This window comes from Homo sapiens, chromosome 1 (assembly GCF_000001405.40).
Source record: "Homo sapiens chromosome 1, GRCh38.p14 Primary Assembly".
NCBI classification, from domain to species: domain Eukaryota; kingdom Metazoa; phylum Chordata; class Mammalia; order Primates; family Hominidae; genus Homo; species Homo sapiens.
Genome location: NC_000001.11, coordinates 179,406,757 through 179,422,215, shown reverse-complemented (window position 1 = coordinate 179,422,215; position 15,459 = coordinate 179,406,757). Strand labels below are relative to the sequence as shown.

At 39.2% G+C, this 15,459-nt stretch overlaps 1 protein-coding gene across 23 annotated transcripts in view, besides 1 other annotated feature; it reads right to left on the bottom strand.

The window, feature by feature from the left end:
* AXDND1 (axonemal dynein light chain domain containing 1) overlaps positions 1–15,459 on the bottom strand; it is a 189,031-nt gene that overhangs the window by 132,520 nt on the left and 41,052 nt on the right. For 22 of the 23 annotated variants that reach the window (XR_921742.3, XR_921741.2, NR_073544.2 and 19 more), the window contains one exon: positions 10,950–11,070. Coding sequence is in view for 20 of the 23 variants with exons in the window: in XM_011509168.2 (XP_011507470.1) it covers positions 10,950–11,070 (121 nt within the window). In the remaining 3 variants the exon portion in view is untranslated. Of the gene's footprint in view, positions 1–10,949; positions 11,071–11,636; positions 11,730–15,459 lie in introns of those variants that run through there. The other variant, XM_011509181.3, reaches the window with a different exon arrangement.
* Positions 3,509–4,308: an enhancer, noted in NCBI's record as "OCT4-NANOG-H3K27ac hESC enhancer chr1:179387043-179387842 (GRCh37/hg19 assembly coordinates)". NCBI's record gives its function as "activates a minimal SCP1, AML or CMV promoter by ChIP-STARR-seq in primed H9 embryonic stem cells {active_cell/tissue: H9 hESC(primed)}" and the evidence as "EXISTENCE:reporter gene assay evidence [ECO:0000049][PMID:30033119]".

Here is a 15,459-nt window from a genome sequence, read left to right as displayed (position 1 = left end):
GGAAATAACCTAACAATGCACCTCAAGGAACTAGAAAAGCAAGAACAAACCAAACCTAAAATTAGTAGAAGGAAAGAAATAATACAGATAACAGCAGAAATAAATAAAATTGAGACAATAAATACAAGGAATCAATGAAAGGAAAAGCTGCTGTTTTTTTTTTTTTTTTTCTTTTGAGATGGAGTTTCGTTCTTGTTGCCCAGGCTGGAGTGCAATGGCACAATCTTGGCTCACCGCAACCTCTGCCTCCCGGATTCAAGAGATTCTCCTGCCTCAGCCTCCCAAGTAGCCGGGATTACAGGCGCCTGCCACCATGCCTGGCTAATTTTTTTGTATTTTTAGTAGAGACAGAGTTTTACCATGTTGGCCAGGCTGGTCTCAAACTCCTGACCTCAGGTGATCCACCCACTCTGACCTCCCAAAGTGCTACGATAACAGGTGTGAGCCACTGCGCCCAGCTGAAAAGTTGGTTTTTTGAAAAGATAAGCAAAATCAATAAAGCTTTAGCTAGACTAAATAAGAAAAAAGATAAAGGTCCAGGCATGGTGGCTCACACCTGTAATCCCAACTTTTGCAGGCCGAGGCAGGTGGATCACTTTAGGCCAGGAGTTTAAGACCAGCCTGGCCAACATGGTAAAATCCCATCTCTACTAAAAATACAAAAATTAGCCAGGCATGGTGGTGCACACCTGTATTCCCAGCTACTCAGGAGGCTGAGGCACAAGAATCACTTGAACCCAGGAGGCAGAGGTTGCAGTGAGCTGAGATCACGCCACCCCACTACACTACAGCCTGGGTGAAAGAGCAAGACTCTGTCTCAAAAAAAAAAAAAAAAAAAAAAAAAAAAAGGAAAAGAAAAAGAAAAGGAAGGAAGGAAGAAAGGAAGGAAGGAAACCATAGAGAACCACAAAAGACCCCAAATAACCAAAGCAATCTTGTGCAAAGAGAACAAAGCAGGAGGCATCACACTACCTGACTTCGAAATTTACTACGAAGCCATAGTAAACAAACCAGCATGGTAATGGCATAAAAGCAGACATATAGACCAATGCAATAAAATATAGAACCTGGATATAAATTCATGCATATATAGCCAACCATCTTTGACAAAGAAGGAAGAAAGGAAGGAAGGAAGGAAGGAAGGAAGGAAGGAAGGAAGGAAGGAAGGAAGGAAGGAAGGGATACCCAAATAGAATAAGAAACGAAAAAGAAGATGTAACAACTGAGACCACAGGAATACAAAGAAGCATTAGAGACTTACAAACAACTATGCATGAACAAATTGGAAAACCTAGGGCTGGACATGGTAGCTCACGCCTGTAATCCCAGTACCTTGGGAGGGTGGGGCAGGCAGATCACTTGAGGTCAGGAGTTCAAGACCAGCCTGGCCAACATGGTGAAACCGTCTCTACTAAAAATACAAAAATTCATCAGGTGTGGTGGCGGGCACCTGTAATCCCAGCAACTCAGGAGGCTGAGACACGAGAATTGCTTGAACCTGGGAAATGGAGGTTGCAGTGAGCCAAGACTGTGCCACTGCACTCCAGCCAGGGGGAAAATGGAAAAAAAAAAAAAAGGAAAACCTCAATAAACCAATAACAAGTAATGAGATCAAAGCCATAACACAAAGTCTCCCATCAAAGAAAATCCCAGGACCTAATGGCTTCATAGTTGAATTCTACCAAGTATTTGAAGAAGAACTAATATCAATTCAACATAAACTCTTCAAAAAATTTGAAAAGGAAGGAATACTTCCAAACTCATAAGGCATTACCCTAATATCAAAACCAGACAAGAACACAACAAAAAAAAGAAAACTACAGGCCAATATCATGGATGAACACAGATGTAAAAATCCTCACAAAATATAAGCAAACCAAATTCAACAACATGTTAAAAAAGATCATTCACCATGATCAAGTGGGATTCATCTCAGGGATATGAGGATGGTTCAACATGTGCACATCAATAAATGTGATACATCACATTAACAGAACCAAGAACAAGAAGCATAGCATCATTTCAATAGAAGCTGAAAAAGCACTTGATAACATTCAACATCCCTTTATGATAAAAACCCTCATCAAATTTAGTATAGAAGAAACATACCTCAAAATAAAAGAAAGCCATATATGGCAAACCCACAGTTAACATTGTACTGAATGGGGAAAAATTAAAGGCCTTTCCTCTAAGATCTAGAACAAGACAAGGATGCCCATTTTCACCACTTTTATTCCTGGAAGTCCTGGACAGAGCAATTAGGCAAGAGAAAGAAATAAAAGGCATCTAAATTGAAAATAAAGAAATCAAATTAGCCTCATTCACAAAAGACATAATCTTATACTTTAAAAAACCTAAAGACTCCACCAAAAACCTGTTAGAACTGAAAAACAAATTCAATATATTTCAAGTATACAAAATCAACATACAAAAATCAGTAGGATTTATATATACCAATTGCAAACAATCTGAAGATGAAATCAAGAAAGCAGCTCTATTTAAAATAGCAATAAATGCTCCCTCTCCCTCTCCCTCTCCCTCTCTGTCTCCCTCCCCCTCCCCCTCCCCCTCTCCCTCTCCCTCTCCCCACCATCTCCCTCTCCCTCTCTTTCCACGGTCTCCCTCTGATGCCGAGCTGAAGCTGGACTGTACTGCTGCCATCTCGGCTCACTGCAACCTCCCTGCCTGATTCTCCTGCCTCAGCCTGCCGAGTGCCTGCGATTGCAGGCGCACGCCGCCACGCCTGACTGGTTTTCGTATTTTTTTGGTGGAGACGGGGTTTCGCTGTGTTGGCCGGGCTGGTCTCCAGCTCCTAACCGCGAGTGATCCGCCAGCCTTGGCCTCCCGAGGTGCCGGGATTGCAGACAGAGTCTCGTTCACTCAGTGCTCAATGGTGCCCAGGCTGGAGTGCAGTGGCGTGATCTTGGCTCGCTACAACCACCTCCCAGCCGCCTGCCTTGGCCTCCCAAAGAGCCGAGATTGCAGCCTCTGCCCGGCTGCCACCCCGTCTGGGAAGTGAGGAGCCTCTCTGCCTGGCCGCCCATCGTCTGGGATGTGAGGAGCCCCTCTGCCTGGCTGCCCAGTCTGGAAAGTGAGGAGCGTCTCTGCCCGGCCGCCATCCCATCTAGGAAGTGAGGGGGGCCTCTTCCCCGCCGCCATCCCATCTAGGAAGTGAGGAGCGTCTCTGTCCGGCCGCCCATCGTCTGAGATGTGGGGAGCGCCTCTGCCCCGCCGCCTCGTCTGGGATGTGAGGAGCGCCTCTGCCCGGCGGCGACCCCGTCTGGGAGGTGAGGAGCGTCTCTGCCCTGCCGCCCCGTCTGAGAAGTGAGGAGACCCTCTGCCTGGCAACAGCCCCGTCTGAGAAGTGAGGAGTCCCTCCGCCCGGCAGCCGCCCCGTCTGAGAAGTGAGGAGCCCCTCCGTCCAGCAGCCACCCCATCTGGGAAGTGAGGAGCGTCTCCGCCCGGCAGCCACCCCGTCCGGGAGGGAGGTGGGGGTCAGCCCCCCGCCCGGCCAGCCGCCCCGTCCGGGAGGGAGGTGGTGGTGTCGGCCCCCCACCCGGCCAGCCGCCCCGTCCGGGAGGGAGGTGCGGGGGTCAGCCCCCCGCCCGGCCAGCCGCCCCGTCCGGGAGGTGAGGGGTGCCTCTGCCCGGCCGCCCCTACTGGGAAGTGGGGAGCCCCTCTGCCCGGCCACCACCCCGTCTGGGAGGTGTACCCAACAGCTCATTGAGAATGGGCCATGATGACAATGGCGGTTTTGTGGAATGGAAAGGGGGAAAAGGTGGGGAAAAGATTGAGAAATCGGATGGTTGCCGTGTCTGTGTAGAAAGAAGTAGACATGGGAGACTTTTCATTTTGTTCCGTACTAAGAAAAATTCTTCTGCCTTGGGATCCTGTTGATCTGTGACCTTACCCCCAGCCCTATGCTCTCTGAAACATGTGCTGTGTCCACTCAGGGTTAAATGGATTAAGGGTGGTGCAAGATGTGCTTTGTTAAACAGATGCTTGAAGGCAGCATGCTCGTTAAGAGTCATCACCACTCCCTAATCTTAAGTACCCAGGGACACAAACACTGCGGAAGGCCGCAGGGTCCTCTGCCTAGGAAAACCAGAGACCTTTGTTCACTTGTTTATCTGCTGACCTTCCCTCCACTATTGTCCTATGACCCTGCCAAATCCCCCTCTGCGAGAAACACCCAAGAATGATCAATAAAAAAATAAATAAATAAATAAAATAAAAATAAATAAATAAAAATAAAATAGCAATAAATAATATAAAATACCTAAATTTGGAAAAGAAGTAAAAGATCTATACAAGGAACACTATAAAACTCTGATTAAAAAAAAGACATAAAAAATGGAAATATATTCCATGCTCATGGACTGGAAGAACTAATATTGTTAAATGGCAATACTACCCAAAGAAATTTGCAGATTCAATGCCAGCCCTCTTAAAATACCAATGGCATTCTTCACAGAATTTTTTTTTTAAATCCTAAAATCTATATGGAACCACAAAAGGCCCCAAATAACCAAAGCAATCCTGTGCAAAAAGAACAAAGCAGGAGGCATCACACTACCTGACTTCAAAATTTAGTACAAAGCCATAGTAAACAAATCGGCATGGTAATGGCATAAAAGCAGACACACAGACCAATGCAACAATAAAACTAGACCCCCTATTTCTCACCATATACAAAAATCAAATCAAAATGGATTAAAGACTTAATTCTAAGACCTGAAACTAAAACAACTCCTTGAAGAAAACGTTGGGGAAACACTCTAGGACATTGGTTTGGGCAAAGATTTTCCGTGTAAGACCTCAAAAGCACAGGCAACCAAAGCAAAAAGAAAGAAAAAGCAATTACATCAAGCTACAAACCTTCTGCATGGTAAAGGAAACAATCAACAAAGTGAAGAGAAAACCTACAGAGATAGAGAAAATATTTGCAAACTATCTATCTGATAAGGGAGTTACAACCAGAATTTATAAGGAGCTCAAACAACTCAATAGCAAAAAAAAAAAAAGAGGAGATAGTCTGATTTTAAAATGGGCAAAAGATCTGAATAGATATTTCTCCAAAGAAGACATACAAATGGCAAACAGGTATGTGAAAAAATGCTCAACATCAGTAATCATCAAAGAAATGCAAATCAAAACTACAATGAGATATCATCTCACCCCAGTTAAAATGGATTGTATCAAAAAACAGGCAATACAGATGCTTGCAAAGATGTGGAGAAAGGAGAACTGTTCTATAAAAGGGCCGTATATGCAAGGAAGTTTCCAAATGCCGAAGGAGCTGAGAAACCAAAAACCAAGGCAGACAAATCCAATTTGTGGGTAAAGGGTGTTTTATTGGGGAAACTAACAGAAGCATTGTCTAGGGTAGCCACAAGACAGGTAGATCTCTGCACTGTTACTCCCCAGGCTCAAGGCTTATATACCATAAAGAAAGGGTATGCTTGTTTTGTGCAACACAAAAGCAACCCTCCAGAACAGGCAAGAATGCTGTAAGCATCATAGCCTTATAATTTATGTGATAACATCAAGGTTGCTTTGTTCTTACACTGAGAAAAGTAAATAGAAATCAGGAGGCATTCACTTGACTGGGGCTAATCAGAAGTCAATATGGCACATTAGCATTCAACATGGAGTCACTTTTGTCTCCACTTGTACGCTGTTGGTGGGAATGTAAATTAGTATAGCCACTGTGGAGAACATTATGGAGGTTCCTCAAAAAACTAAAACCAGAACTACCATATAATCCAGCAATTAATTCCACTGCTGGGTACATGTCCTAAAGAAAGAAAATCAGTATATCAAAAGATACCAGCACTATTCACAATAGCCAATATATGCAATCAACCTAAGTGCCCACCAACGAATGAATAATGAAAACACAGTATATAAACCCAATGGAATATTATTCAGCCACTGAAAAATAATAAAATCCTATCATTTGCAGCAACATGGATGAAACTGGAGGTCATTTTGTTAAGTGAAATAAGCCAAGTCACAGAAAGACAAAGATTGCAAGTATCCACATGTGGGAGCTAAAAGAGTGGATCACATGAAGATAGAGAGTAGATTCATGGTTACCAGAGGCCAGGAAGGGTAGGAGAGAGAGAAGATAAAGAGAGGTTGATTAATGGGTACAAGTATATGATTTAACAGAAGAAATAAGTCCTAGTGTTAGATAGATAGGTAGACTGACTATAGTTTACAACAATCTATTGCACATTCTAAAATAGCTAGAAAAGAGTAAATCAAATGTATCTACCACAAAGAAAAGACAAATATTTTAGATGATGTCTATCCTAAGTACACATATTTGATCTTTACAAACTACATGAATGCATTAAATTATAAGATGTACCCTGCTACTCGGGAGGCTGAGGCAGGAGAATGGCACGAACCCGGGAGGTGGAGGTTGCAGCGAGCAGAGATCGCGCCACTGCACTCCAGCCTGGGCAACAGAGTGAGACTCCATCTCAGAAAAAAAAAAAGATGTACCCTGGAGAGAAAAGAAAGTTCATTAATGATTACCTAAGTTGAATGGGTTGGAGGTAATGAGAAGCGACTGCTAAAATGTATGGAGTTTCTTTTGAGGGTAATGAAGAAGTTTTCAGATTGGTTGTGGTGATGGTTTCACAGTTCTGCGACCATGCTAAAAAACATATAATTGTACACTTTAATTGGGTGAATTATATGTCACAAAAGCTACTATTTTTTTGAAAATTCTCATGTAATTTCTTCTAATATGTTTATAATTACATTGTTTTTAACATTTAATTATTCCCTTCTGGGATTTACTTTTTAGTTATCTTTTTAATGAGGTCGGGATCTAAATTTGTTTTGTTTTGTTTTGTTTTTTGAGATGCAGTCTCGCTCTGTTGCCCAGGCTGGAGTGCAGTGGTGCGATCTCGGCTCACTGCAACCTCCACCTCCCGGGTTCAAGCAATTCTCGTGCCTCAGCCTCCTCAGTAGCTGGGACTACAGACACCCGCCAATATGCCCAGCGAATTTTTGTATTTTTAGTAGAGATGGGGTTTCACCATGTTGGCCAGGCTGGTCTTGAGCTCCTAACCTCAGGTGATCCACTTGCCTTGGCCTCCCAAAGTGCTGGGATTACAGGCATTGGCCATCACGCCCAGCCGAAATCTAAATTTTTTAACAATTGAATAATCGATTGTGCCAACCCAATTTGAATATCCCATATATAGGTGAGTCTATTTCTGACCTTTTTCTATTCTATTCTGTTGTATTTATCTATTCTAACCAAGTAACACATTTTCTCAGTTACTTTGACTTTATAATACATTTTGATGTCTAAAAGTACAAGTTATTTTTATTAATCTTCTTTTAAAATGTTTTATTATTCTCATATTCAGATTCTTCCAGATGGGTTTTATAAACAACTTGCCAAATTCCTAAAAATAAAATTGTTACTGAGATTTTTAGTGGAATTATATCAAATTTAAAGATTAATTTGGCCGGGCGCGGTGGCTCACACTTGTAATCCCAGCACTTTGGCAGGCTGAGGTGGGCGGATCACGAGTTCAGGAGATCGAGACCATCCTGGCTAACACGGTGAAACCCCCTCTCTACTAAAAATACAAAAAATTAGCCAGGCGAGGTGGCGGGCGCCTGTAGTCCCAGCTACACAGGAGGCTGAGGCAGGAGAATGGCGTGAACCCCAGGGGGCGGAGCCTGCAGTGAGCCGAGATCATGCCACTGCACTCCAGCATGGGTGAAAGAGCGAGACTCCATCTCAAAAAAATAAATAAATAAATAAATAAATAAAGATTAATTTGGAGAGAACTGACATCTATACAATATTGATTATTGTTCTCAACCAGTGATATGCTATACAGCTCTCCTTTTAGTTTGCTTTTAAGTTCTTTACCATGGTTTTAGTGTTTTCAAGATACAGGTCTTATCCCTTCTTATTAAATTTATTCCCTCTTTGCATTTCTAATGTTTATTATTGTATATAGGTAATACGTTGGGTTTTTTTTTGTATTTATCTTGTATTCATCAACCTTTATTAAAGGCTAAATAATTCAAATAATGTTTAAATTTATTTTTTTCTGGTTAGAAAACTGCATTATTTGCCCAATGTTTGTTAAAAAATTGTATATTTATCTTATATTCAGCAACATTATTAAAGGCTAATTAATTCAAATAATATTTAAATTTATCTTTGCTAGGTAGATAATTGCTTTATCAGGAAATAATAGTGACTTTGACCATAATGAGATACCATCTCACACCAGTCAGAACGGCTATTATTAAAAAGTAAAAAAAAAACAGATGTTGACGAGGATGCAGAGAAAAGGGAACACTTATATACTATGGTGGGAATGTAAATTAGTTCAACCCCTGTGGAAAACAGTATGGAGATTTCTCAAAGAACTAAAAATGGAACTACCATTTGACCCAGCAATCCCACTAGTGGTTATATACCCAAAGGAAAAGAAATCATTTAATCAAAAAGACACCTGCACTCATATGTTTATTCCAGCACTATTTACAATAGCAAAGTCATGGAATCAACCGAAGTGTCCATCAATGATTAATTGGGTAAAGAAAATGTGGTATATACCATGGAATATTATGCAGCCATAAAAGAGAATGAAATTATATGCTTTGAAGCAACATGGATGAAGCTGAAGGCAATTATCTTAAGTGAAAAAACTCAGAAACAGAAAATCAAATACTGCATGTTCTCACTTGTAAGTGGGAACTAAACAATGGGTATACATGGACACAAGGACGAAAATAATAGACACTGGTGACTCCAAAAGTGGGGAGGGTGGGAAAGGACCAACAGTTGAGAATTCACCTATTGGATACAATGTTCACTATTTGGGTGATGGGCTCACTGGAAGCCCAAACCTTATGATTTACACAATATATCCATGTAGCTATCCTGCACACGTACCCCTGAATCTAAAATAAAATTTAAAATTAATTAATAAAATAAATATAAACAGTTAATGTGGATATGTTTATTACCTTGATTGTCATGAGGGTATCACGAGTGTATGTAAATGTTCAATGTCAAATTGAATATATTAAACATGTGTGGATTTGTTTTTTTTGTATATCAATTGTACTTCAATAAAGGTGTTAAAAACAATGTAATATGTTAATAAAGTAAAAGGAAATCAAGATGTAGTAATCTCAATTGACACAGAAAATATATTTGACTAAATACAGCACCTATTTATGATTAAACTCTAAACAAATGAAAAATTTAAGGGAACTTCCACAACCCAATAAAGGGTATATATGAAAGCCTACAGTAAATATTGTACTTAATGGTGAAAGCAGAATGTCTTCCCCATAAGACTGAGAACAGGAATACTCACTTTTACCACTTCTATTCAACAATATACTGGGAATTTTTGCTAAAGAAATCAGTGGGAAAAAAAATTTTAAAGAGATTTTGCTGCTTCCTATAAGTAGTTATATCTCTTGATTTTATTTGCATGTTATTACTGAATTAGGATCTCCAGTGATAGCAGAAATCCTTTCTCCTCTCTTGAATGGAAATGCCTCTAGCATGTCCCCAGTAATGATCTAGATTTCTAATAATTACCTCTAGTAAGTAAATGAACTTTCCTAAATAACAAGCCTTGATTCCACTATCTAGTATATTAGCTTTCTCTCTAGCTTTAGGACACTTGACAGGGATGCCTTCTACATTTTCTTCCAAATAACTGACAAACTACTACATGTGGCAGGGTTAATACAGAGCTCTAATGCAGATGTATTAATGCATTAATGCAGTATATCTCCATGGAGAACGCTGTGACCTGCCACCAGTAGACCAGTGAACCAATTTAACTGAACTCATTTTTTAATCTTTTGAGGATCAAAATTCACTGTACCTAGAAGTCCCAGTTGTCAGAATAGGCAACCAACAAGTAAATATTTTAGAAATATAGAATATTGTGTGACTTTGCTATTTCCCTAAAGTATTACTATAATGGTCCACAGTGTACCATATTTCAATTCATTTGTCATCTTGTGTACCAAGGTAAACAGAATCAGAGAGTGGGTCAGCCACAGTGGCTCATGCATGTAATCCCAGCACTTTGAGAGGTTGAGGCAGGAGGATGATTTAAGCCTAGGAGTTCAAGACTATCCAGGGCAACATAGAGAAATCCCATCTCTACAAAAAATTAAAAATTAGCCAGGAGTGGTGGTGCACACCTGTAATCCCAGCTACTCAAGAGGCTGAGGTGGGAGAATTGCTTGAGCCCAGGAGGTCAAGGCTACAGTAAGCTGTGATTGCACCACTCACCACTATACTCCAGCCTGGGCAACAGAGTGAGACCCTGTTTTTTTAAAAAAAAAAGAGAATCAGAGTGTGATATCCAGTGATCCAAATATGGTCACCTTGTATGAAGAGATAAGAACCACCTTTCCTACTTTATTATTAGTATAAATTAAAGTTGAAAATTTTAACATGTTCCCAAACAACAGAAAAAGAACACTTGTTCATATTTCATAGATTCTGCCCTTAAAAAAAAAAAGACCCTTAATTGTGTAATAGCTATGTGCCCAACAAATGCAAGAATAAAAAGAAGAAATTCAACTTTTCCTTTTCAAAGCCCACAAAAGTTACATTATACATCAATAAATATACATCCTCATTTTTTTGAGTCTTTGTCTAGATTATTGAAAACTGCAAAACAGGCCGGGTGTGGCAGCTCATGCCTGTAATCCCAGCTACTCAAGAGGCTGAGGTGGGAGAATTGCTTGAACCCAAGAGTCAGAGGTTGCAGTGAGCCGAGATCACATCACTGAATTCCAGCCTAAGCAACAGAGTGAGTAAGACTCTTTCAAAACAAAACAAAACAAAAAAAACAAATTTTAAAACTGTAGAATGAATCTTTAGCCAAAAAAGAAGTGTGAGTTGTGAATCCAGATGAACTAACCTTCAGGGCCAATTCATATGTGGCTGAGCTCCAGATATCTCTTTCTGCCACTAACTTTTTCATATCATTCTCCATCCTTTCTCTTTGTAATGTATATAAGTCATGATATTCTTCTACTATTCTATAAAAACAATTAAGAAACAGCTTCATTTAATTTATACTAACAATATAGACACATATATTTTTTAAAAAAGAAATTTGTTTTAAAATAGGTAATGTGTTCCTTTAAAACTCATCATAAGGTAATTATGGTATAATTGCTGAATATATTGATAACACATATACAGTGAAATAGAAGAAAAATACTCACATTTAATTTATAAATCTTATAAAAGTCTTAATGAAAGTAAAAATCTCATATACTGTTCCTTGCTCTAAACATTTTTCATCTTATTCTTTATTTTTTCACTAGAATTCTGACATGATATTCCAATGGTATAATAACACCATATCTAATGAAAAATTCAGCATACAAGTAACAATAACCTAACAGTTTTATTGTCAAAGTTTGCTCACAGACCTAAGATTCTTTATGAAAGGTACAAAGTCCAATAATTGTGAGCCACTAAAATTTTTAATTATACATAATTAGTACAAGATTAAAGAAAATTGTCCCTTAACCCTTTAAAACCTTAAATAAAGCAGCTTTTTCTTAACTATTGTTTCTTTATGTCTACCAGAACATACCTTTTTCCTTCTAATTTACACTGAAGCTTCATTTAAAATTAACAGACTTCCTGGCTGGGCGCAGTGGCTCACGCCAGTAATCCCAACACATTGGGAGGCCGAGGCAGGTAGATCACCTGAGGTCAGGAATTTGAGACCAGCCTGGCCAACATGGTGAAACCTCGTCTCTACAAATACAAAAATTAGCCAGGTGTGGTGGCGTGTGCCTGTAGTTCCAGCTATTTGGGAGGCTGAGGCAGGAGAATTGCTTGAACCTGGGGGGCAGAGGTTGCAGTGAGCCGAGATCGCGCCACTGCACTCCAGACTGGGCGACAGAAAAATTAAAAGACCTCCTGAAGTAAATACAAACATAGAAGTTATAACGTAACAAGTAGCATTTCACAAATCTTTTGAAACACTTCCTCCCAAGGACTTTGCAATAAGAATTAGTCCACTGAAGTAGAATTCTTCTAGTCTTAGAGGCTTTCATTTGTTCAAAATAATAAAAAAAAACTTATACAGGTGAATACACATGTACAAATTCACTGAGCTATACTCTTAAGATTTGTGCACTTTATTGCCTAAAAATTAGACCTCAATTATCAAAAGAGAATTAATGACCCTAATTTAACAGTAAAAGCAAAAAATCCAGAAACAATCTCAATGTCCAACAACAAAAGAGTAGACAGATAAAAATATAATGTAGTTCTATGATTTAAAAAAAAAACACTGGAGATAATTAAACATCATCATATTATTTTTGTTTTGTTTCGTTTTTTGTTGTTTTGAAACAGAGTTTCGCTCTTGTCCCCCAGGCTGGAGTGCAATGGCACAATCTCGGATCACTGCAACCTCCACGCCTGGCTAATTTTTGTATTTTTAGTAGAGACAGGGTTTCACCATGTTGGCCAGGATGGTCTCAAACTCCTGACCTCAAGTGATCCGCCCGCCTCAGCCTCCCAGGGGTGCTGGGATTACAGGCATGAGCCACCGTACCTGGCTAAACATCATATTCTTAATACTTTGGTACATGGGAAATTTCTTCATGTTATAATACACAATGAAAAAACCAAAATGCTAAAATTATAAAATGTTTGATCTCATTTCTATTAAAAAAATACATAAAGTTCTAGCTAATTTGGCAAGTGAAAGAAATAAAGGGCATCCAAATTAGAAAGATAGAAGTCAAATTGTTCCTGTTTGCAGACAGCAAGATCTTACATATTTTTTTAAAAAACCCCTAAAAGTGGCACCAAAAAACTCCTAGAATTGATATACAAATTCAGTAAAGTTGCAGGATACAAAATCAACATACAAAAATCAGTAGTGTTTCTATACACCAACAATGAACCAGTAGAAATCAAGAAAGCCATCCCATTCATAATAGATACCAAAAAAGAACATCTAGGAATAAATGTAATCAAGGAAGTGAAAAATATGTACAAGAAAAACTACAAAACACTGATGAAAGAAATTGAAGATGACACAAATAAACTGAAAGCCATACCATACTAGTGAATCGAAGAATTCATATCATTAAAATGAATATATTGCCCAAGCAATCTATAAATTCAATGCAACCCCTATCAAAATACCAATGTCATTTTTGGCAAAAAAAAAAAAAAAAAAAAAGAAAGAAAAAAAGAAAACACACTTTAAGAGTCAAGGCAGGAGGATTACTTGAACCTAGGAGTTTGAGACCAGCCTTGGCAACATAGTAAGACCACATTTAGGGGAAAAAAAAAATTTTACCCAGGCACCAGGCACTCTAGTGTGTACCTGTAGTCTAGCTACTCAGTTGGCTGATGTGTAAGGATTGCTTGAGCATTGAGGTCAAGGCTGCAGTGAGCCATGATCATGCAACTGCACTCCAGCCTGGAGGATACAGTGAACCCCATCTCTATAAAGAATTTTTCATAAAATTATCCAGGTTTGGTGGCTCATGCCTGTAACCTCAGCACTTTGGGAGGCCGAGGTGGGATCACTTAAGGTCAGGAGTTCAAGACCAGTCTGGCCAACATGGCGAAAACCCATCCTACTAAAAGTACAAAAATTCACCAGGTGTGATGGCATGTGCATGCCTGTAGTCCCAGCTACTTGGGAGGCTGAGGCAGAAGAATAGCTTGAACCCAGAAGGCAGTGGTTGAAGTGAGCCGAAATCACACCAGTACACTCCAGCCTGGCAACAGAGTGAGATTTTGTCTCAAAAAAAAAAAAGAATTTTTCATAAAATTGGAAAAAAATGACGATTAAATCAGATGCACAGATAGCAAAGTAAGAACATAGGAAACATGAAAAAATAATTATCTAGTAACCAATCTCAACAGAAAGGAAATTTATAAAATGTCTGAAAAAGATTTCAAAATAATGATATTAAAGAAACCCAGTGAGATACAAGACACACAGATAAAGAACACAAATAAATCAGGAAAACAATCCATGATCTGGATGAGAAACTCAACAGAGACAGGTATCATAAAAAGGAATGAAACAAAAACCCTGGAACTGAAGAATTCAATAAATGTAATAAAAAATACATTTGATAGCTTCAACAATAGACTATATCAAGTAGAAGAAGGAATTTCTTCTGACCTTGAAGACAGGTCTTTTGAAAAAACCTAGTCAGACTTTAAAAAGGAGAGAGAGAAATGAATTGAAAACAATGAAGAAAGCTTATGTGGATATATGGGACACCATAAAGTGACCAAATTTTTTTTATTCTGGGGAGTTTCGGAAAGAGAAGAGATGGACAAAGACACAGAAAACCTATTTAATAAACTAATAGCTTGAAAATTCCCAAATCTTGCAAGAGATAAAGACATCCAGATACAAGAAGCTCAAAGATCCCCAACCCAAATTTGACTGTGGGACAGTCAACCCACAAAGATATTTTCTAAGGCATATTACAGTCAAACTGTCAGAAGTCAGAGACAAAGGGAGAATTCTAAAAACAGCAAGAGAAAAACATCAAGTTACACATAAGGGAATCCACATTAGACTAATGGGTTTCTCAGCAGAAACCTTAAGCCAGGAAAGAATTGAATGATATATTCAAAATGCTGAAAGGAAAAAAAGAGGCCAGGCACAGTGTTTCACGCCTGTAATTCCAACACTTTGGGAGGCCAGTGCAGGCAGATCACGAGGTCAGGAGATCGAGACCATCCTGGCCAACATGGTGAAACCTCGTCTCTACTAAAATACAAAAATTAGCCGGTCATGGTGGCACGCGCCTGTAGTCTCAGCTACTCGGGAGGCTGAGGCAGGGGAATTGCTTGAACCAGGGAAACGGAGGTTGTAGTGAGCTGAGATCACACCACTACACTCCATTCTGGTGACAGAGCAAGACTCCATCTCAAAACAAAAAAAAAAAGAAAGAAAAAAAACCCTGCTAGCCAAGAATTCTGTACCTAGCAAAGTCATCCTTCAAAAGTAAAGGACAAAAGAAGTCTTTCTCAGATAAGCAAAAACTGAGGAAATTCATCACCACTAGACCAGCCTGAAGGTAGTCCTATATTTAGAAACAAAATGACAATATCTACCATCATGCAAACACATCAGTGTAAAAAATCTCACTGGTAGAGCAGAAACAAAAAAGAGAAAGGATTCAAATGTTACCACTACAGAAAACCACCAAACAGCAATGATAAACAATAAAATAAGAGGAAAGGAGAAAAAGCTATACAAAATAATCAGAATATAATTAACAAAATGACAGGAGTAAGTCCTCACCTATCAATAATAACCTTGAATATAAAAGAATTAAATTCCCCCATGTAAAAGATATAGATTGGCTGAATGGATATAAAAATGCAACCTAAACATATGCTGCCTCCAAAAAACTCAC